General features: G+C 40.2%; 1 protein-coding gene and 1 pseudogene across 20 annotated transcripts in view, besides 1 other annotated feature; both read right to left on the bottom strand.

The window, feature by feature from the left end:
* The window catches only part of PPP1R12B (protein phosphatase 1 regulatory subunit 12B), a 244,004-nt gene that overhangs the window by 147,818 nt on the left and 71,793 nt on the right, over positions 1–24,393 (bottom strand). For 15 of the 20 annotated variants that reach the window (XR_001737195.2, XR_007060689.1, XR_007060690.1 and 12 more), the window contains exons 3-12: positions 22,147–22,265; positions 19,160–19,319; positions 17,701–17,845; positions 15,956–16,030; positions 14,075–14,154; positions 13,266–13,405; positions 10,117–10,229; positions 6,861–7,064; positions 4,097–4,179; positions 2,313–2,438 (exon numbers count right to left, since the gene is read on the bottom strand). Coding sequence is in view for 11 of the 20 variants with exons in the window: in NM_001331029.2 (NP_001317958.1) it covers positions 2,313–2,438; positions 4,097–4,179; positions 6,861–7,064; positions 10,117–10,229; positions 13,266–13,405; positions 14,075–14,154; positions 15,956–16,030; positions 17,701–17,845; positions 19,160–19,319; positions 22,147–22,265 (1,245 nt within the window). In the remaining 9 variants the exon portion in view is untranslated. Of the gene's footprint in view, positions 1–1,757; positions 1,799–2,312; positions 2,439–4,096; positions 4,180–6,642; positions 7,065–10,116; positions 10,230–13,265; positions 13,406–14,074; positions 14,155–15,955; positions 16,031–17,700; positions 17,846–19,159; positions 19,320–22,146; positions 22,266–24,393 lie in introns of those variants that run through there. The other 5 variants (XM_005245206.5, NM_001167857.2, NM_001167858.2 and 2 more) reach the window with 5 other exon arrangements.
* On the bottom strand, positions 5,120–6,557 carry LOC100420423 (FKBP prolyl isomerase 8 pseudogene; annotated as a pseudogene).
* Positions 14,478–14,678: a silencer, noted in NCBI's record as "peak654 fragment used in MPRA reporter construct". NCBI's record gives its function as "represses an SCP1 promoter by STARR-seq MPRAs in K562 erythroleukemia cells {active_cell/tissue: K562}" and the evidence as "EXISTENCE:reporter gene assay evidence [ECO:0000049][PMID:32103011]".

The raw sequence follows: 24,393 nt of genomic DNA, 5'->3' as shown, positions 1-24,393 counted from the left end.
ACTGGCAGCAAGCAGGCAATCATCCAAAAGAATGAAGGAATCATCACTCTTTGAAGGATGGTCTTTTTGGTCAATCATCCAAAAGAGTGAAGGAACGTGGAGGAAGAGAGATGATACTGAATGAGGGAAAGCAGGAAAGTAGAATATATGATAAGAGGAGAGGCTAAGAAAGGGAATAATAGGAAAAAGGATAATTTTATTAGAAAAAAGTAATTCCCAACAAACCCAAGGCAAATAATCATGCAACCCCAAATGTCTACCTGATACAGAATTAGCACTGCAAAAGCAAAAGTAAGACCAGAGAATTTGGAGAGGTTGTGGAGCAGAGATTTAAAATTTAAAAGTGGAAAGAGTAAAGAAGCTCTGTGAAAAAAAATGACTTTGAGAACTGCAGTTATTCAGCCTAAAGCAAAATTGTCTCTGGGAGGATTTAGTTTTAAGTCTAGAAAGTAATACTGTATGAGCAATAAAGGGCAACTTGTATTTGTTTTGATTGAAGACAGGTAAGAACCATCTCAATTGCAGGAAAAAATTATTTGGGTTCAAATTTCAAAAATACTTCTTGACTATAATAGAAATGAGACACTTGAGCAGATAACCAAAAAAAGCTATAAAGCCTTCCTTGGAAAAGAGGTATTTTAATATGGGCCATATGAAAGGAATTTCTGCCTATACACAAGAGATGAACTCTCATTCTCATTTTCAAAGATGAAAATGGAATGTATATGAAGGTTTGGCATAGCTGGGAAATGACAAATTTCTCCTTACACTTGCTCTTTTAAATGGTGATGGCATATGATTCTTTCCTTTTAAAAAGACCATAAGAGGTTTTTATAAAATCAAAAAATGCTTTAGGGTTACAGGAGAAAAGCTTTGGAAATCCAAGATATGAAGCAAGTTGTACATCTTTTCCTCAAAAAGTGCTCATATCATTAAGCATGCTTTTGATCCTAAATAGAGGCAGCCTGTCCCTTCACTGTTCACCGTAACTTTGCCAAACTACATCTATCAAACCAAATGCCTCTCAACCCATTTGCTGATTATTTGGATCACAAAAATCAACAACCTCGCCACAGAATAACTCCATGCCTGGAAATTAAATGGCAGCTTTCTCCCTTCCCTTGATCTAGAACATTGTTTTCTTAGAAAAGTTTTCTTGATCTTGGATTCAACTATAATGAATAATAATGCATCCAGGAAGACCAAGGCCTTAGCCATTAAGACAAATAGGTGATAGCCTCATAAAGCAAGAAACACCTCTTTTGTGTAATAAAGCATCAGTGAGATCATCAAACTTTCATACTTCCAAAGTTGAGCCCTTTCTTATAGAATGTATCTACAGAACTGAAGAACATTAAAAGGCAACAGTGACTGTTTGTTTTCTAGCTATTTCCCATGTTTCAACAATAACTAGTTGACAAGTCTTTCTGTCAAGTGGAAATAAGTGTTGATTCCAAAGAGTTAATGTGTTCATCTAGTCTAGGCCAGGGCCTGTTTCTAAGGTAGCCAACCAATCATCTAAAAAACCTAATGATGAAGGCTATGGTGTGAGAAGACAGTGGAAGTGAAGAAAGAATTCAAAGTAAGCAATAAAAAACAGATTCTTCCACATTAGCAGCAGAGTTCAAATTAAAATATTAAGTATTTTTGTAGCTTAATGGCTCTGGCAAAGGTGCCTGGTTTGCTGGCTAGTATGTGGCAAAGAAAATAATTGCAGAAAAGGGAATACAGATGAGAAAAGAAGGAAACCCATGTACCTTCTCTGCACCAAACTTGCGAGTTTCACATCTTGATGGATCTGAGGGCCATTAAAGTCATAAGAAAAAAAACAACTCAAGTCCCTAAATTAACAGGCTTCAGTATGAAACTTCTTTAATGCAATAGAAAACTGTCCCCATTTCCCACCCCCCACCACTTTATAGTGTCCCTCCCTTCCTCCCCCCAAAAATAGCACATGGGATGAGAACTACTCTGTTTCAGATAAGGAGAACCAGCTACTGGACAAGGATAACTTAAATTCAGTCTTGCCCAGAGATTACTGAAAGCCACTTCTGATTGAAAGTTTTAATAGGATGGAGAGGATAAAGTATAAAGCCAGATCTGTAGTGAGAATCTGAAATTAGCTTACTTTAATTCAATTATTAAGATAATAAATTTTAAATTATTCAAGATGTTAATTCTAAGAAACCTGAAAGTAATTCATTTTGATTCATTTCTGCGGTGTTAATTGGACATAAAAAGGCATACAATCATTACCCATTTCCCATGGCTAGAGTGAAAGAAACATCTCCCACCCCCTTTGAGCCTGGTACCTTTTCAAGTAAGTTGATACATAGGTGGAGGGAGCAATTGTCTGTGGGATTTCATTTCCTTTTGCTTCATCCCTCCATAGCTGCCGGGTATAGGAGCCACTCCTCACTAGATTAACAGCTGATTCTCTGTAGAAGCATGAAAGGAAAACAAAACACTGATTCCTACCACCAGTTTTTGTCCATGATACAATGCAGAGAGAGAAGAGCCAGACAGGCAAACTATAACATGGCTAATAGACACATTCTTCAGGTTATTCTGTTTTATATACCAGTTTTCTGTACAGAAGAGAAGTATTACTGCCTGCTTTCTTTTATCAACTTTGAACCAATTAATTTCAACAGGTACCAAATTCCTCATGTCAAAGGTCTCTAACCCTTTTGTAATAAGAAGTCACTTTTGATCCTCACTTAAAAAGTGCTTTGCAGCTGGGCATAGTGACTCACATCTATAATTCCAGCACTTTGGGAGGCTGAGGCAGGCAGACCACTTGAGGTCAGGAGTTCAAGACCAGCCTGGCCAACATGGTGAAACCCCATCTCTACTAAAAATACAAAAAAATTAGCCAGGCATGGTGGCACATGCCTGTACTCGGGAGGCTGAGGCACGAGAATCGCTTGAACCCAGGAGGCAGAGGCTGCAATGAGCCAAGATCATGCCACTGCACTCCAGCCTGGGCGACAGAGTGAGACTTTGTCTCAAAAAAAAAAATAAAGAAAAAAGTGTGTTGCAATCAGTCTTAGTAGCACGTGGCTTTTAAGTTAAGCAGATAAGGAAATGATGGGGGAAGATGAAGAAGTCTGTTACCGAGAAAAAAAGTTACTACAGAAGGGGAAAGGGAAAGAAGTCTTGCTGGAAGCCTCTTTAGCATTATAAATGAAAAGGTATCCAGGAAAGTGCTGTACTAGGATTTTTGATCCACAATTGATAACTCAGGGTCTTTGTTGCAAAACCTATGGGTTTCCATGCTTCACAAGGTTCTCTAGAACAATCCTTCTCAAACTTTAATGTGTATTAATATTTGAATCACCTAGGGAATTTCGTTAGAATGCAGATTCTAATTCAGTAGATCTGGAGTAGGGCCTGAGATTCTGGAGTCCTAACATGCACCCAGGCCAGGAGCAGTGGCTCACACCTACAATCCCAGCACTTTGGGAGGGCAAGTCAGGAGGACCACTCGAGGTCTGGAGTTTGAGACCATCCTGGGAAACATAGCAAAACCCTGCTTCTATTAAAGAAAATTATTTTTAATAAAAATAAAATGTACCCGGGTGATGCCAATACCGCTGGCTAAGGTTTGAGATCACATTTGCCCTGAGATGCAGCAATACTTCAAAATCCCTATATTTATTTTAACTAATTAGGAAGACTTTAATTTTACCTTCTGACAAATTAGAAGTTGGTCAATTTAATTAAATAACATTATTTTAGTGTTTACTATGTGTTAGGCACTGTGCTAGGAACTAGGGGTCCTTAAGAAACCAGACAGACTCAGACCCTACCTTTACAGAGCCTGCTGGTAGAATAAAACTAATGCATGTGTGGAAAAATCAGGGAAGACTTCCTAAAGAAGGTAATGTCTAACCTGGAGTTAGAATTTGAAAAATAAAGAACCAGCAAAGCAAGGATATAAGAGTTGAGAGGTGTTCTAAGCAGAAGGAATAAACAATTCATAATGTGGTAAGGACACCTGAGGGAAAAATGCAGAAGAGTAATGCCCAGGAGATGACTATGTCCAGTAGACCTAAGAGGATGAGGACCATCTTTTGGCTGGTTTTAGGATTACCTGTTCTCCTTTTCTTCAATATCACTTGTGCTGTTGAGCTTCCGGGGTGCTAGTGAACTAATATAGCTTTTGTTTTCTCTCTCCTGTAAAATAAAAACAAGTAAAGCACAAGAAAGGTACAATACTGGCACAGCATAAAACATTTTGAGTAAAAAAGCAGAACTTAATATACCTATATCATCTTATTTCTGGATCCAACACTAATTCTATTTTGAGTGGTATTTACAAAAGGTTAGCTTTCAAAAGCTTATTCCTAACTTTCTTCCATTAAAAAACAGTATGAAGGGAAATAATTCTCATGGGAAAGTCAGGATGAGTAAATAAAGAAAACAGCAGCACAAATTATGCAAAGCAGCACCTCTGTCAAGAGAGGAGGAAAGCCTTTGAAGACACAAACAGAAAGCTCCACTCTAATATTCTTGATGAAATAAGATTTATGTAGTCCCCAATAGTCCCCAGTACATCTTTTCCTTGAAATACAGCTTCCTTAGGAATATGTACAATAGTATGCTGCAGAGTTAATTCAACCAATATGCCTCATCTCTTTCAGTAGTCTCCAGAGATATAAAGCAAGAGGACTGTGATTACAAGGAAGATGTGACCCCAGAGAAAAGCACAAAGAGAGTCCTATAAAATCTGGAACTAAAAAGTGAAGAAAATAAAAATTTACTAATCTTGAATGAATACACAAACTATGTGTGAAGTTAGCCTAACCACATTTTCCATATTAATGAAAGAATGACAAGTTAAAAATTTTTTTTTTCTAAGTACTAATTTGCCTGAGCTTAATTTGGACTCAAAGCCCAGAGAACCTCTTAGGCCATACTGAATTTTTTTTTTTTTTTGCAGGGTAGGAGGCTTTATTACACTGTGGCAGGAAGTGAGCCTAGACAGTGTGGGGCAAGCAGGGCAGGAGGGGCTGTCCCCAAACCTGTTGAGGAGAAACTGAGGCTGGCCCCAGTGGAGACCTAGCCCAGCAGGAGAAGGGGAGTGGGGAGGAAAGTGGGTCTGAAGGAATGAGGTCCCCCTCACTCTGCGCATTCCTCCTAGAGGGCCTCAGTCCCTCCTGCTGGCTGGGCTGCACAACCCCCAGTCCTTGCTGCCTCCAACTTGGAGAAGGGGGCCGGACCAGGAAGGGCAGTGGACAGGGAGCCTGGGGGAGTTATGGAGCACAGGGCAGGGTCCATGGTGTACAGAGGGGGTGGCGGCCACCTGGGTGGTCAGTTCCTGGCAGGAGTGACCACAGAGAGCGCCACACCCCCCAAGGCAACAGCAGTCGCCCCAAACAGCCACTTCCATGGGCTGGACCAGGCACCCTTGCCGGGGCACTTGGCGGGCAGCCAGCTGGGGTCGCCCAGCATTTTCCAGTACAGGGCGGTCTCCGTGCTCCGCTGTGCCGCGTGCTTCTTCACCAGCTTCAAGAGTTCTGCGTGGATCGTCTTGTTGGAAGGTTCCAGCTTCAGGGCTGCCCTCAGGATGGAGATGGCCTCACTGTACTCACCCTGCTGGGCCAGTATCTTGCCTCTGTGGAGGACAGCCTTGATATTGTCTGGATGGTGCTCCAACGAGGCTGCAGGAGCACAGGGCTGCGCAGTAGTGGTCGAGCTTCAGCTGCGAGGCCGCCAGGTTGTTCAGACACTTCACCTTCAACTACAGGAGCTGCTCCTCCTCCTCGAACGTCATGTCCACTTTGGCGCTGGAGGTGATGGTCTTGATGGCAAGGTCATAGGAGTTGGCGGCCAGGATGAAGTCCGCCCACTGGTAGTGGGCACTGCCGCACTCCTGCTTCCGGTTGGCCAGGGCCATGCGCTCCTGCCCTGTGAGCATCTCCAGGTCAGGCCAGTCCACGGCCGTCTTCGGGGTCACCTCCAGGCACAGGGCCGCGTGCGGTGGATGTATGGGCTCCTGCCCTGGGGGCTATAGCAGTAGATGGAGTCAGCAGTGACCATGGCCGTCTCCCCCACGTCCGTGAGTTAGACACTAAGATCCAGGGCCTGGATGACGTCACAGTTGTTCAAGGTGAACACCAGCTCCCACATGCTGTTCTCTCACGACGTCTGCAAAATGCACGGTAACCACCTGGCCCTTGACTGGGCGGCTTGAACCCGGCGGCCCTGGGACAAGCGTCTTCTTCCTCAACAGCTGCTTCCGGGGCCAGGGACGGGGCGGGCTCAGGCTCCATGGCAGCGAGGAACTCTAGGGCCAATGTCCCAGGCTGTTCAGCCTCTTCCACCGGGGGCTGTCCCATGCCCAGCGGGGGCAGCTCTTTCAGGTCATCTTCCTCCTCGCCCTCTGCATCCTCCACCCCATCCAGCACCTTGAAGTCCTCAAGCGGTGGGACCCTGGCAGGAGGCGGGGGCAGAGGGCTTAGAGGGTTCAGCACACGAAGCCATGCCGCTGGGGGGACGGGAATTGGCCCTCTGGATCCAGGACCCCTACCTGGGGTCCTGTGCCCCCCTCCGCCATACTGAAATTTTTATGTTGCTGATCCATTTTTTGCTTTAGGTAAGGGGGCAAGGAAGATTGAACAAACCAAAAGGAAAAGCTATTTTTAAAGCTTTTTTATTTTCTTTTTTGGTCAAGCAAACAATAGCAAGCAAATAGCTACTTGAATAAACTATCAGTGTGCCTCTCTCTCTTTAAAGACTTTGCATTTCCAAAATCAACTTAAGGACTAGAAAATATTTTCATTTGTTCCTAAGATTGAATTTTCATGGAAAAAAAAAACTGCCTTGGAATTCCCCCATACCCTCCCAAACTGCACCTTATCTTTGTTGTCCAGTAGAGCAGAAATCCGAGGGCTTGAAGAGGAGCGATAGATGGAAGAGCCTCGGTCCCTTATAGGTTCCCTGGAATTGGCCACCTCACTCAGCATGTTGTGGCTGCCAGTTTTTCTCAGTCCCAATCTCCATGAAGAAGGAGATTCATCTTTGGGCTCTTCTGGCTTGTTAAAAAGGCCAGAAGAGAACTATGAGAGAAGCAAATAAAAGAAATGAAAAATAAAGGCTCTGATGATTCTTTCTCAGCCTATTTGCCTTTTCCACACTTAACTAAGTTCAGCGAGGCAACATAAGGTAGCTAAGAAGAACAAATACATGGCAGTCTTTCTGCCCATGTTCCCTCCCTCACCCAGCAAAAGCTAATAACCTCTCCAGGCTCTTTCTTCCTAAGCCAAAAATAGCCTCGGATTCTTCACACAGTGCTCCTACCTGACAGGGTTGTTCTGAGAAATTTGCTATCTCTGTGCAATTAATAATGACCTGGAACACCAGGAGATTGTATTCTAGTAATATACCTTCTTCTAACTCACCGTGGAACTGAATATAAGATACTTTACTTCTCTAGGTCTCAACATGCTCACCTGTAAAATGACGGTAATGAGCTTAATCCCTCCTTATAATATGTGGAGACTGGAAAAAATGAGACCAGCTAATTTATCTTTTATTTTTATTTTTTTGAAGTAGGGTCTCACTCTTATCACCGAGGCTGGAGTGCAGTGGCCTAATCAGAGTTCACTGCATCCTTGACCTCCTGCGCCCAAGCAATCCTCCCCCTCAGCCCACCGAGTAGCTGGGACTATCAGCATGTACCACCATGCCCAGTTAATTTTCTCTAAATTTTAGTAGAGACAAGGTCTCCCTATGTTGCCCAGGCTGGTCTCAAAGTCCTAAACTCGAGCAATCCTCGCATCTCAGCCTCCCAAAGTGCTGTGATTACAGGCATGAACCCATGCCCTGCCAGGAATGAGCTAATTTATAAACACATTTTAAGGTACTATGATACAGTGATTTAACACTGATAAAAATTCTAGACGCCACTCCACTCAAATTCTAACTGCTAATTTCAAGAAAATTTATTTGATCTAGAGTAGCAGTTTAGAGAGCTTTAGATTTCACTGACCAGCAAAAACAACAACAACAAAAAAAAACAAAAAAAAAACTAGAGGTCAAAGGGTTGCTATCTTTTTATCTTTTAAATATAATTTTGACAAAAGAAAACAACATTCTGAAAGATGTTTTCTTTTTGAACAACTCATCATTACCACAATTTTGTTAAAAATGAAATTTTAATATCAGAAAAGAAAGCTTTATGGAAAGCTTACATTGTCCTTAATTATCTCATTTTGCCATAAACTAGGGAAACATCATAGACCAGCATTAGGCCAAGGACCAGTTTGGGGTACAGCTAGTCTCTGGAACACAAGCCAACAGACCCTTCCTGAGGTCCAGGACCTTTTCAAGAAGATTTAAGCCTTTCTTCCAATATCAGGCTACCTTTACTGCCTGATACAGCGAAAATAAATAAAAATATTAAATCACTCATCTCCAACTCACATATAGATTTTCTCTTTTCATCAGTCATCTGAATGTACACATTTACGTACCCCTTCCAGCTTTAGGGGTTCAATAATGTCAGCTTTTTACAAGCTACTCTGATTCTAAGGGGGAAAATGCCTTCCCCAGCATCATTTTAGCAAAGTAGAATGTGTGTGTGTTGTTGTTGTTGTTGTTGTTGTTGTTTTTGAGACACGGTCTCACTCTGTTGCCCAGGCTGGAGTGCAATGGTGCAATCACAGCTCACTACAGCCTTGACCTCCTGGGCTCAAGTGATCCTCCCACCTCGGCCTCCCAGTCCCAAGTCACTGGGACTACAGGTGTGTGCCACCATGCCTGGCTAATGTTTTTATTGTTTGTAAAGATGGGGTTTTCCGATGTTGCCCAAGCTAGTCTCAAACTCCTGGGCTCAAGTGATTTGCCCACCTTGGCCTCCCAAAGTGCTGAGATTATAGGTGTGAGCCACTGCACCCTGTCTAATTTAGTATTTTTCTATTGAAAAAAGTAGGAAGTCTAGGCATCCTTAGAAGCAGTGGCAGTATATGAGGTACACCTAAATGACTGAATATGAGTGAGAATTACATTTATTCAAAGCCTCTTTAATTATTCACGATGATGCTTCTAGGGATAAATAAGTAGCCAGGCCTTTGTTCTCTCATTTCCACAAGAATACCACAAGCCCATCTTTCCAATTCATGAAGTGCTAAGAAGATCATTAAGTTCATACCTATATAACCACAGAGCTTTTTCAACAGCTTCATTCCAAAGAACTCAAATCAATTCTTAACCTCAAAATGACTTTTATACTTTGTAGAGCAGGGTCATCATTCAACTCACTCTCACTGACTAGAAGCCTACAGATTCTCAGAGGCCTGCACAAAGTTACAGAAGGAGGGGCCTCTGGTATTTCAACAAGTTATTTCTACCTCTGCCCTTTACTCATCATAAGATATAAAGACTTTACTCATGAAAGTCTTAAAGGAGAAATAGAAAAAGGAGAATAATCACCAAAACAATGAATGCTGGATGCTAGATATCTTCTAGCCCAGTCCACACTTTACATGTAGGCATCTTAACTTCAGATACAAAGAAAATAGGCAAATGACAAAATCTCTTTGGTCTCAGACTACTCTATCTTATGTTATCTTAACACATGGTAGCCAAATTTGTTTGGTAATAATCTTATAGATTTTGGGGGGCAATGTTATGGGTTGAATGTTTGTGTCCTCCAAAAATTCATATATTGAAGCACTAATTCCCAATGTGACTATATTTGGAGATAAGGGTCTGTGAGGAGTGATGAAGCTTAAATGAGGTTAATAGGGTGGGGCCCTAATCTGATAGGGCTGGTTACCTTATAAGAAGAGAAAGAGACACCAGAGCTCCTTCTCTCTGCCATGTTAGGACATGGCGAGAAGGTGGTTATATTCACGTCAAGAAAGAGGGCCCTCACCAGGAACTGAACTGGCTGGTACCTTGATCTGAGACTTCCCAGCCTCCAGAACTGTGAGAAATAAATGTCTGTTGTTTAAGCCACCCAGCCTGTGTTTTTTGTTATGGGAGCAGATTATGACAGGAAAAATGTATTTTTATTATTTTGCAAGAATGTACCTTTAAGGCCTTTCTAGATGTGTGCTACTGCAGTAGGGTGAAATCTAATTCCCAAATTAAGTAAAAAGTACTCACCCTCCTAGCAGAAGAGGCAGAGAAGGTATTTTGAGCTGGTGCTGGTATCTGCTCTGTGATACTACTCTTGCTTTCAGAGTTGGAATGATTGACAAAGGCTTCTGGCTTTTTATCTGTTATTTAAGACAAGAGAATTAACAAGTACTAGTATAAAAATCTTATCTTTGTGTCTATGTCCTTTTCTGCTAATAGAAAAGATTTGCCCATTATCAAAACAGATTATTAAGGCCCTGTAATGCTTGGATATAAACTAACAACTTGTAAACTCTTGCAACTGTTGGCAGAAAAAAATAAACTCAATGTTATTCCCATCTTGGTAGGCTCCAACTCCAACTTTCAGATAAAAACTGAAAACTATCTCCACATTATTATATCATATATAAAATCCATCTATAATCTGTCCTTTGGGGATCTCATCCTTTTCTACAGTTTTACCTTTCACTTCTTATGCAGATAATTTCCACTGGGTCCCTACTACTACTCTGGGGAGTCCCAGATCAAAGTCCAGATCTTAGGCACACCACTTGCCAGCTATGAAACCTAATTCACCTAACCTCCTACAGTGTCAATTTCCCATTCTAAAAAGTAGTGATAATAATACATACCTCAGAGTATGGTTGTGAGGATTAAAGAAAAATGTTTAAGTGTGGTGCAAAGTAAAAAGCACTATACAAATGTAAAGTTTTATTGTAATTCCCTGAACTAGATACAGTGTGTCTTACTAGTGAATCCTATTGACTACACTTATATCTCTCATGTGACATGTAGTTTATTCATGTATACACCTTTCTATTCCCTGACTGGATATATTCAACAAAAAACATTTAATGAATGTGAATGCCTGTTATGTACCAGGCATTGAGCTGAGACCTGGGAGTTCAATAATAAACCCAGAGTTCCCAGCCAAAATGATGAGTGCTACAGCAGAGTTAAGTAGGCAGTGCTAGAGGGACATAAACAGAGAACAGTCGTGGGGTAGAAGAACAGTGAGGTGGCCCATTTCCTTTCAGCTTCCTATATTAGAAAAACCTAAAGAAAGACTTTTTCAACCTGCTAGATCCTATAGTTTTCTACAGAAATCACTCAATGAGCATTGATGGCCTGAAATGAATTTCGGCTTAAATGGTACAAATGTTCAGAAGCAGGAAAGCTCAGGGCAGGTTTGAGGAAATTAAGCAGTCCAGTTTGGCCAAAATATGTCCTTATCTATGTACAGCATTGGAAAGGTCAGCTAGAGCTAGATTATGAAAAGTCCTGAAGGCCAGACTATGGAGCTTGGGGTTTATTTACTCTGTAGGCAAAGATAGAGTGAGGGAGGTGGTCATAGGTTTAAACAGAGGTGTAGCATAATCAAAAGGGTACTGTGGGTGTTTATGCCAATAGCAATGTGAAGACCTGGCTACAGAGAACAAGAGATCTGACGCAAGGGTACAAATCACAAAGCAATGACCATAGTTCAGGCAGATCCCTCCAATTTTTCTCATACCTTGGCAACTAACAAAAGTGATCTAGAATAGAGCAAGTTCAGATACTTGTTGCAAATATTTGAAGCCTAGAACATGTAAGTACTCAATAAATAATCAAATATCAAAAAGATGAACATTTATAAATTCTGACAGGTACTACAATACCATTTCCGGAGCATACTGTGCATGATTAATAATAGAAGTTCAAGTCTCAATGAATAAAAGGTCATCTCCTATACTGTAAACTTAGCTGGTGCCTTTCTTCTCTATAGAACTGATGGTTCTCTAACTTCCTTTTGGTGACTGACATTCAGTGAGCCTCAGAGACTGAGACATGAAGAAGGGTAGTATTCTCCCATCATGGAGAGAAATCATATCAGCAAAGCCAGACCTCATCAGGAGCTGGTGGCCAGACAACAGAGTAAGTTAAATATCTTCATTATAGGTAGGCCAGCCATGGCAGAGTTCAGAGGAAAACACAGACTCCATTGTAAACTTAATGTGTGACCCTTTCCCCTCTAGCAGAAACATTTCATCTCATCATGGACTCCAGTTTGGAGGGATAATATGGCAGTGAAAATGGGGCTTAGGTACACTATTCTTTTCTCAGTGTTTGCCTGACTATAAATCAAAACCTGTGGATTATTTTATAGCTTGTTGGTCTGACCATGTTCAACATCTCACTCTCACTGTTGGGGTTCCTGTCTTGTCAAACAATAAACTTAAGAAGCTCTAGGGCCAGGTGCAGTGGCTCATGCCTGTAATCCTAGCACTTAGGGAGGCCAAGGCAGGTGGATCACTTGAGGTCGGGAGTTTGAGACCAGCTGGCCAACACAGTGAAACCCTGTCTCTACTAAAAATACTAAAATTAGCTGGGCATGATGGTGCACACCTGTAGTCCCAGCTACTGAGAGGCTGAGGCATGAGAATCACTTGAGCCTGGGAGGCGGAGGTTGCAGTAAGCTGAGATCACACCACTGCACTCCAGCCTGGGCAACAGAGCGAGACTCTGTCTCAAAAAAAAAAAAGAAGCCCTATATGAGGTATATATTATCAATAATAGCCATAAAGGTAAATATGATTTTGTTCCTTCCTTACTCCCCAACTCACACGAGAGGGAAAAAAAAAGATTTTAGGATTCTGTTTAGGAAATCAGACAAACCTGAGAATTAAATGCAAGTATTCACCAGTTGGTTTGACCCTAAGAGCTTCTGCAAGATCTCATCTTCTCTGCCTCTCAGCATACCGACATTTTGGAATTTGGTCTCTATGCCATTTACCAACCTGGAGTAAGGAGAGTTGGATTCCTCACATAAGAATTATTACCTTTTCTTTTTAAATTTTTTTGTAGAGACAGGGTCTTGCTATGTTGCCCAAGCTGTCTTGAACTTAAAGCAAGCCACCGCACTTGGCCTCCCAAAGTGCTAAGGCACCGTACCCAGCATTCACCTAAGAATTCTTTGTGCACCTTATCATATGGCTACACAGGAATTGGTAGATATAGTCTAACATAGCTCACAGTTTTTATATCAGGTGGTCACTGGCAATTTGATATCTTATCCTTGAAAACTAAACTTCAAGCTCTTTTTGGAGTCCTGTGAGGCCTGGCTAGCTCTCTGACAAGGAGTAATCTTCTTACACTATGGAGATAGAGGATCTTCACTATGAACATCTTTGCATTACCTGCCTCCTTCTCAGTTTCTGACTCAGAAGCTTCATCTTCACCTTCCTCCTCCTCTGAGCTGGAGCTACTAGATTCTTTATTTTCTTCCTCCATTTCTTGGGACTTAGGTGTCTCCTCCTCATAGAGCATCTTCTCTTTGCTAAATTAAAGATGACAACTTGAGTATAATTCAGAAATGATAATCAGGTATAATAAAGGGAACAAGTCTATAAACCTATATGTGGAAGCAATAACAGAAACATATTCAAATTCTTCTTTACATCTGTGTGTTCTTCCAAACCCTTCATTTTTGCAGACTAAGATTTAGTATTTGACGACAGAGTATGGCTCAAGGAAATCTGGCCTGCTTAACACACAGAAAAAAGAAGAACTATGAATTTTGATGACAGTGGGTAAATATTCAAAAAAATCATTTAACAAATGTTTACTGAGTACTTATTACATGCCAGGAATCATGCTAGGCACTGGTATAGTCATAAACAAAATAGACATTGTCTCTGAGTTCATGAAACTTACAGTAAGTAGAGGCAAAAGTTGAGACTAAGAGCGCCTAAGCCAGGATTTTAAAATGCTGCACACAGTCTCAATTAATTCTGAAGTTTAAAACACAGTCAACCATCCTTAGTGTCTCCCTCACATATCAATGCCACTCTCTTGTCCCACAAAGTTTCCCACAAGTTTCCCACAAGTTTATAGATCACTCGGCTAAATACAAACACAGAGTTTCTTCACTTTATAAATTCTGAAGTTAAGTATGTCACTGACACAGAGCAAAGCTCATCCCATTACTCAAGCCTAAATGTCTTACTTCTTAAAGAACCCACTCTGAATCTTGCTGTTCAGATCTGACTCAATGAGTTTATTCCGTGTCTCCTTTTCACTTCGAAGCTGGAAATGGAGAAAACAGAGAGAAAAGGGAAGAAGTTGACTATTGGTGAAAAATCAGCAGTATTGAGAACCAAAATGGTACTGTCATTCTGAAGAAAATAGGACCAACACCAAAGAGGTAGTGGGGAACCCGAGAAAAAGAGAAACATATCAGTTGGGTCTCCTTAGATGACAGAATTCATCCAAGGTAGAAGAGAAAAGCCATGGTGTTAAGAACTTCAATAAAACTGCTCCTATCAAATATCCAAACCCAATCTTCAAAAAAAAAAGTCTAGATTCTGAAGGATAAAAAGCCAAAAGGAACCTGAAAGAATTCTTTATGATTCATATACTGAAATAAGTTGGCAATATTTCTAAAGAAAACACAGGTACCGAATGGGAAATAAGCCCTTAGGGAAAATGGTCTGCTATTTAGATGCATGCTCTAGACAAAATGTATTCATATTCCTGGAACTCAAAGTTATGCAGAGGGCAAAGATAAGTACTATTCCCACTGGTGTAGAAATATTATTTCATGAATAATACTATTGATGTTCAAAAACCTTACCATGCTAGGTACAGAATACACAGGAACTCTCTATTTTTGCAACTTCCATGTGAGTCTAAACTTATTTCAGTAAAAGTTTTTAAAATTAAAAGAACCTAACTCTGCAAAGTATACAACTTATAATCAGGAAGGCTGTTGCTGCTAAATAACAGCATTGACACTGCATTTGAAAATCCTAGTTTCAGTGATCCTGACTGCTCAACAAAGAGAACAAAATGAACTTTAAGTTGTGTTTGTATGAGTTTTATGTATGTGACTTTTCCACTGAGCCTTAAAATAACCAGAATCTTCACTTTACCATACCAGACATAATGCTGAACACAACAGAGATTAGGTATGGTTGATCTGTCCCATCATTGAGCTATATAGTTCTTTGATTCAGAACTGCTGTTTTCCACATTTGTCCTAAACTTTAGTTTACATTACCTGAGTGACAGCACGTGCAAAAGAAACAAAAACAAAAAAAGTCATTGATTTTTTTGGCCCCTAATGTCCCACCCTAATGTCATTAATCTTTATTCTCCCCACTCAAATTATTCATCTGCTTTATGAGTAAAAAATATGGCTTATTCACTCTTCATCTGTATATGGGGTGGGTTTTCCATTCTGCAGTCTGAACAAAAATACCGTACTTATGTAGTTCTCCTGTATAGCACTAATTAAGCCAAAGACATGCATGACCAAACAATAAAAGATTCAAAATGAGGAGCAGAGAAAGGAGGACTGAATTCTAGATGTTTCATAAAACTGGAGTAAGTATGAATCACTGACCAAATACTCTCCTATATGAAATGACAGTTTTAGTATTATGTGTATTTACTTATTTTTTAAGAAATATATTCTTCTCTGTAATAAATGTGCTTAAATAAAGATAGTCTTTTAGTCAATAAGAAAAAGAAAAGCTATGAGGTATCCTCCACTCTGGTACTTTCTATTTGGAAAAACATCTGATTTGAACATATCACATTCATTTTCTAGAACTCAAGGGTAATTATTAGTTTTTTGTGGCTGTTTTTAACTTTCAGCTTCTTGAAGGCTATCTTATAATGAGCAAAAAACCTGAACAATAATGGTTTCTGGGATATATTCTTCTAACAGACTGTTTATAGTTCCTGAAGTGAACAATTAACATCTCTGGAATGCAGATATGTCCATTTCAACTCTCAGCAGACACAACTGAAACAAGTGATTGAGATACTTGGTGTGAACTGCAAACTATTAGAAAACTTTTGAAAGCACCAATCAGAAACTCACCACATTCTGCTTCTTCTGGAGCAACTCCAAATGCTCCACGAGACCCTCATCAGCCACATCAAATGGTGTCTGGCCCTGGCAGAGAAAAGGAGCACCATGACTGATAGAAAACAGAAGCAGCAATTACGTGACTTTATTAGTAGGGAACTATTCAAAAGTCACTTTTTGCCTTTGACTCCAATAATAGCTGCTTTTCAAACTAATCTACCATACATTATGATAACACCTTCATCTATCACACAGGACACATAACAAGAAACACCAAATCCTTTAAATATAGAGTTTGTACAACAGTACTGCAGAAATCACACCATTTCTAATCCTTACTGCCACCTGGCAAATAATCAAGTGAAATCCCTACTTGTATCTGTTCTAAAATGGTCTTAATTGCTATGATAAATTCCATAAAGGGCTCTTCAAAACTTCAGAGGGAGGTTCAGGGCACATGTTTAATAAAGATTAAATCACAGGAATCATCTTCCTTTAAGTGAGGGGAGGACTGACAAGAAAGTTAATTCTTTTAGGAAGCATCAGCATAATTAAGAACCCTGACCCACAGTCTGAGAATGAAACCTGGGTTCAGGAGAGATGTGACACAGATAAGAATATCTACTAATTAAAAGGCCATATCTCTGCACTACTAGAAAATCAGTACATATATGGGCTGGGCACAGTGGCTCACACCTGTAATCCCAACAATTTGGGATTACTCAGTATTATTCAATATTCACTTTTTGCCTTTAATTCCAATAATAACTGCTTCCCTAACTAGTCTACCATACATTATGATAATACCTTCATCTATCACAGAGGACACATAACGAGAAACACCAAATCCTTTAAACACAGAGTTTGGGATTACAAGTGGCAAGGCTGGGAATCACTTGAGCCCAGGAGCTTGAGACCAGCTGGGAAACCAGTGAGACCCCCCATCTCTACCATTAAAAAAAAAAAAAAATTAGTTTAATTAAAATAAAATCAGCTGGGCATGGTGGCTCATGCCTGTAATCCCAGCGTTTTGGGAGGCTGAGGCAGGCGGATCACGAGGTCAGGAGATCGAGACAATCCTGGCTAACACAGTGAAACCCCATCTCTACTAATAAAAAAAATACAAAAAATTAGCCAGGCGTGGCGGCGTGTGCCTGTAGTCCCAGCTACTCAGGAGGCTGAGGCAGGAGAATGGCGTGAACTTGAGAGGTGGAGCCTGCAGTGAGCTGAGGTCGCACCACTGCACTCCAGCCTGGGCAACAGAGCGAGACTCTGTCTCAAAAATAATAATAATAAAATAAAATCAGTAGACATAGGGATAGGAGTTCCAGAGCTTCTAAGTTGTTTGAAGTGAGACCGAATAACACTATTTTCAGCCAAACTCAAGGATCTTTGTCATTATAACATTTTAATGACTCACATGAATACAGCAACAATAAAATCTTTCATACCTCACCACAGACAATAACATTAGGCTCCTCAAAGCTCATTTTTTGCCAAGAACAAATATATTTTTTTCCTGTTTTAGAGGCTTGAACATAAATACAATCAGAAGGTCCACGGAGTTTTATTTTAAATAACAAACATAACTCTGTGTTAATAGGGCCAGAGGCAGGGTGGTGGAGGGTAACATTATAGCTACCAGTGATGTATATTTCACAACAGTCAGACTGCCATTGAAAAGAGATGTTAAGCCTTTTATTCTAGAGACCCAGCCACCAATCTCGTTGTTCTTTTAGAGGTTCAGGCTCACTAACCAGTTTATTTCGAATATCCATGTCACAAAGTGCTTCTGCCAGGATGGAGCAAGCCTCCTTCACTCCCCAGTGTGCAGCAGCATGGAGGGGAGTCCAGCCATCATAATCCTGAACATTGAGTTCATAGCCAGCCTGAATTAAAAGTCTAAAAAGAAAACCCAAAACAAGACATATATCTTCTGTATATTACAATTTTCTGGCAAATACACTATTACCTAATTGATATTTCAGATTTTGGCCCTGAACCACAGGGGTCTTATGATTACTTCTGCCCTCTAAGGCACAGTTTGGGTTTCATAGTTAACTACTTTGCGTACCAATCATAGATGACCTTTACCAATCCTCTCAAAAAAGTCATAAGATATTTCCTAGGCATATCCATTTTACACCATACAAGGGGAGTATACGGAAACGTATGTACCTAAGATTAACCAAAGCATAATTCAATTAGCCAAATCACATAACTCTGTTAAAGGTACATTTTCCATTTTCCAGTGCAGGGAAGAAGTAACATATAAAATGAAGACTCTAATAGGCTGTGGTCATTCTCTCTATCTGTAATAGTGTCAACAATAAAGATAAAGTTTAAAAAAATAAAATAAAATGAAGACTCAATTCTCTTCAGGGTATTTTCCCAACTAGCCTTCTGGTTGGTCTTTCTAGGACACTATATTTACCATATACCCACATATCTCCAATTTTTTGCTAACTATAAAGCTATAATTTAACTTGTATGCATGGAAGAGAAAAGATTTGACTCCTGAAGACCCAAACCACATTGGGGCCCTTATGGATAGCGCTATCAGGCAGAAATGGAGCACCAAAACACTGCTATACCTATTAAAAACCCTGCATTAGGTGAAATATGAAATACTGGAAGAGTCCAGTTAACAACTGCACATATAATGCCTTTGGCAACCCATGTATTTGGGAAAGCCTGTGAACATTAAGTACCAAGAGCTACAAGAAGCATGTATGGATGTAAGGAAAAATGGAACAGACAGAGTAGTAGAGTCCAAATCCCTCATATAAGTTTGGCTATCCTGTGCCAGCTGGACATCGCATACTCAAGATCTATATAATTAATCTAATGACACAAAAGAAATTATATAAGTCAAAACGGAACAAATGATCACAAGTATTACAGGTCACAAGAAGAGGTCGTTGCAGGGATATTAATGACAAATCAGAGAACTGGAAGAAGTCCCCTCCTAGGACCATGTACCTCAACTCTGTTTCACATCATACATGTTAGTGAGAAGCTAGAGGAATGGTAGGAGGGAGGGAGACAATCCATGGATGAATACCAGCAAAATGTGAGAAAAGACTGCACAATCAGAGAGGAAACCAACAAAAAAGGAAACACGTCATAGCGGAAAATCTAATTCAGCCTCTGCTTCCAAAACCTATTCCATCTTCTCCCAGTGAACCACTCCTGATTGATGTAAATGGACAATACCTGAGGACTTCAGAGTAGCCCTTGGCAGCAGCCACATGAAGGGCTGTAGCCCCTGAGCGAGCCTGCCTCACATCCTCTATTTTCCCACTGTTGAGCCACTGGCGGGCATCCTGCAACATCTGCTGCTCTTCTTCTTTTCTTGACTGCTCTAGATCAACTCCTACAGAAACCAGATACCAGACAGCCAGGATTACTAAAGCTCCACTTAAGTTTGACAGGATATTTTCCTTAGATTAAAGCACATCATAAACATAAATACAAATAACAATTTAGCCATCAAGTTGGGTAATTATCAAATTTAGAAGATCAATGGCATTTGTACACATATTAATGGTCTTACCAGGATTAAATCATCAGGTTAAATATTATGTGATACAGATCCATTAAGGGAATGCACCTAAAATTGTTTTCAACAGAACATAAAGACAAAGGGGACATTATTTTTACATTATAATATTTGTACAAAGCTATAAACTTCCAAGTCTTTTTACATGTTATATGACTTTAGTTTCCCAACAATCCTTCAAGGTAAATATAATAGATATTACAATCTTCATTTAACAGATGAGGAAATAAAAATAGAAAGGTTAGGAATCTTGCTCAAAGCCACAAAACACATTAGTGACAGAACTTGCCGCTAGAACTCCGATATCCTGGGTCCCTCTCTGTCATTCCTCTTCTGGGTCCCTATCCACTCACTATACCATAGGATGAGTATCCAAAATCTTGGTTTCAGGTATTGATATACTTTAAAAATTGAACTATCTCTAAAGTTCATTTCCATATACAGGTAAATACACTGACTTGAAGATATATAATCTAGGACAGATTAGTAGGTGATCTGCAGTTTAAAAACCTGTCTGCTTTCAAGGGAATGCAGATTTTGTTTTCCTTAAAAACATTATGAAAGAACTCCAAGAGTTCCTCCCTTTAGCCAATAACTCTCCAATATCTGTGCCAGTGAAAAGGGGTTAGGGTGAGGCATACCCCATTATACAAAATAATAAAATGTCCCAAATACAAACATACCCATTCAAAAAGTTTTACACTCATTAGCAGTCTTTGTGCTTGGTCTACTCCCTTTCAGCTCTTAAAAGAGAAACTGCTGGGTGCGGTGTCTCATGCCTGTAATCCCAGCACTTTGGAAAGCCTAGGTGGGTGGATCACCTGAGATCAGAGTTCGAGACAAGCCTGATCAACATGGTGAAACCCTGTCTCTACCAAAAATACAAAAATGAGCTGGGCATAGTGGTGGGCGCCTGTAATCCCAGCTACTTGGGAGGCTGAGTCATGAGAATTGCTTGAACCTGGGAGGCGGAGGTTGCAATGAGCTGGGATTGCGCCACTGCACTCCAGCCTGGGAGACACAGTGAGACTCTGTCTCAAAAAAAAAAAAAAAGAGAGAACCTGTCAACTACCTAAGTATTATCTGTGTGATTTTGGGAGATGGATGGGGTGAAGAGGTAACCAATTTAAATCAGATCAGTACTCCAAACACAAAGAAGTGTTAGCAGTGCTGGAAAGTTAAACATATATATGAATACCCCTTTCAACAGAGTATGTTCCCTCATTGAAGAGTCAGCAATCAAAACAGAAAAAGTGGTTGCTCCAATCTAAACTATTTTTTAAAACTGATTTTTTTAAAGTTGTTTGTACATTTTAAAGCAAATCTTAGGAGATAAAACTGATTGAGGCTGGAGGTTAAGCTAAGCATAAAATTCTTCAATTCAATAGCGCACAAAGCCAGGCGCTATAGCTCACACCTTTAATCCCGGCACTTTGGGAGGCCGAGGCTGGTGGATCACTTGGGGTCAGGAGTTTAAGAACAGCCTGGCCAACATGGTGAAACCCTGTCTCTACCAAAAAATACAAAAATTAGCCAGGCATGGTGGTGCACACCTGTAGTCCCAGCTACTCAGGAGGCTGCGGCAGGACAATCACTTGAACCTGAAAGGCAGAGGTTGCAATGAGCTGAGACGGCACCACTGCACTCCAGCCTGGGCAACAGAGTGAGACCCTGTCTCAAAAACAAAAAACAAACAAACAAACAAAATAGGACAGAAAAACTATACATGAAAGGCAGCAAAAGCAAGTAGTTACTGACCTAGAACATCACTATATTAAGGTAGGATCAGCATACTTTCTCCAAAGGGCCAATATGTATTTTCAGGTTTGTGGTTCATCCAATCTATCACTACTACTCAACTCTGCTGTTGTGGCACAAAAGCAGTTTTGGATAATATGTAAACAATGCGCATAGCAAGAATTGGCCCTGACTGTTCTAAAAGTTCATATTGGGAAAGACCACTGGAGCTAAATCCTCTGGGATGAACTGCAAGATTGTGAGTAAGGTAGTTTAGCAGAAGGACTAAAAAAAAAAATCACTACAAATCTTGTCCGCAGAGTTTTGTGGTGGAAAAAGAACCCAGGGACTTCCAGGTTGAAAAATTCCATCCTATTCTGTGAAATCGATTCTCCTAAAACTATAAAATAAGAATAAGCATTTTTAGAATATATTATTCTAAGTTAGCTTCCTCACCTTAACAAATTATCATACTAATTCTCATGATTAGTTACAATAAATATCTTTATCAGCACCACTTTTAGCTCTCAACAAGGGAAAAGATGCAAAGTCACAAACTCAGTTTAGCCAATTCTCAAATTTACACTGTATCCCAATACCATGCATACACACAGTACTGTGCATACACACAGTCCTCATCAGGTCACTCTTAATTGTATGATGGGTATGCAACCTCTGAATGGCAAAAACAAGGAATGATTGGTCATCCTTTTGACATCTGGCCTATTCTTGTCTGAGTTATTATGAGGATACATGATGCTGGATTAATGATTAATGCAGTGCAGACAGATCAAATCCTCTCCTGTCATGTGATAGTGAAATGCTCTGCACAGCAAATGGATTATTTTCTGTAAATGGCAGTGTTTGAGAATCTTTCCTGGCCCCCTCCAATCCATGAGGTTACCTTGCTTCTTTACTTGCTCCAGAAGAAGATCCTTCATGGCTGGCTCTTCTGCAAGGTCAGAGGGAACTTCACCTTCACTATTGACAATACCTACACTGGCTCCGTGATTAATGAAATACCTGCGTAGACAAGATCCAGGATCAATATTATCTGTCAATCTAATATAAATTTTACCCATGCATCTGGCATTCAATACACAGCGAAGTCTCTATTTTGAGTTTAAAATATGGTCTCAGTTAAGATATTCCATTATTAATTTCTATGTGCCTTAAACTTCAATAATTAAGACTGAAGGCTTCCCCATTTCCTGACTAGAGCAATGCCAACAAACAGGATTTCTTTCACACTCATATTACTAACTCCCATCCTCTCACTCCCAGTGGATGGCAAGAGAATTTCTAAGTAACATAAAGAAGGCATGCAGCCTTAAACTTTCCCAGTGCCACACTGGAGCTTATTAAGTAGTGCTGTGGGTGTGAAAATAGAAGAATAAAGTGTGCATTAAAATTTGCATAAATCTGCCTAAATTATGCCTCCATAAAACTCTCCTATCAACCAGACATCCACATGAAATCTTCCTGTGCTGTAAGACGAAACTAAATTACTTAAGAAGAAATATTAAAATGTTAAATAATTAAATTCTAAATCCAAATAGAATACTTGATTCTGAAGAAGAAAGGTCTGATAATTCAATACCTTACATAGATCCTTTTTGATTTTCAGAGTGCTTTCACATAAAATTATATCATAAGTCTTAGGCAACATTATGAAGTAGGCAATGTGGGTATTATTACCATGACTTTAAGAAATTGAGGTTCATACATATTAAGTAATTTTCTCAAAACCACATAGCGGGTAAATGGCAGAGGGTACAGCCCCAGTCTTGACTTCAAATCTAGTTCATCTTTTCTTTAGATCAAGTCACTTTTGGGCCAGTGAGAACTCTAATAACGCTAGGAGCTCTATCAAATACTCAGAAGTGTTTAAAGGAAAAAGAAAAATGATTCAAATTAGACTTCAATCCATTCAACAATTCAATAAACATTTACTGGACCCCTACTATATTGAAGAAACCCCTTTTTTTTTTGTTTTTTTTTTTGAGACAGAGTCTTGGTCTGTCACTCAGGCTGGAGTGCAATGGTGCGATCTCGGCTCACTGCAACCTCCACGTTCCAGGTTCAAGCAATTCCCCTGCCTCAGCCTCCTGATTAGCTGGGATTACAGGAATGTGACACCACGCCCAGCTAATTTTTTGTATTTTTTTAGTAGAGATGGTGTGTTGCCATGTTGGTCAGGCTGGTCTTGAACTCCAGACCTCAAGTAGTCCGCCCGCCTCGGCCTCCCAAAGTGCTGGGATTACAGGTGTGAGCTACTGCGCCTGGCCATGGGAACCACATTTTAGACACTGTAGGAGATTTAAAAAAAAAAAAAAAAAAAGAGAGAGATAATATATGGCCACTGGCCACTGCATTCAAAGAACTGGCAGATGGAGCCAAACGCAGTGGCTCACCCCTATAATCCTTTGGGAGGCTGAGGTGGGCAGATCACTTGAGGCCAGGAGTTTGAGACAAGCCTGACCAACATGGTGAAACCCATCTCTACTAAAAACACAAAACTTAGCCGGGCATGGTGGCAGGCACCTGTAGTCCCAGCTACTCAGGAGGCTGAGGCACAAGAATCATTTGAACCCAGGTGGCGGAGGTTGCAGTGAGCCAACATCAGCCTGGGTGACAGAGCAAGACTCTATCTCAAAAAAAAAAAAAAAAAAAAAGTTGGCAGAGGGAAAAGAATCAATAGAGATTAGATTAAGACCATGTTTTTGCTTTCTCAGTGCCTAGTACCTGGTATAATAGGGCCTCAACAAATGTTTGTTAATTTATAGATCAATTCTACATGTATAAAGCTCAAAAGCCTTCACAATTCACCTTTTAACCATCTCCTTCTTTCCCTTATAGTCTCAGAGGAAGACAGACCTTATTCAATTCCAAAACGAACTCCCTCTATTTGTATTCTTAATTCTATCAAGTCCTAGTATTCCGTTCATAAATTACCCTTCATTTCCACATATTCAACAGCTCCTCTCTTCTGATTCCTCTCCCTTAAGCAAAAGGAATATTCAGCTACACCTCCCCAACCCTGAAATATCAAAATGCAAATAATACACATAGTAAGCACTCAACAAATGTTTCCTGGATTGAAGTGTGCCCTATACTCTATAATCAAACTAAACCACTTACTGTTCCCAAA

Source organism: Homo sapiens, chromosome 1 (assembly GCF_000001405.40).
Source record: "Homo sapiens chromosome 1, GRCh38.p14 Primary Assembly".
NCBI lineage: Eukaryota > Metazoa > Chordata > Mammalia > Primates > Hominidae > Homo > Homo sapiens.
The sequence above is the reverse complement of the archived record's forward strand: the minus strand, read 5'-3'. Positions and strand labels throughout refer to the sequence as shown.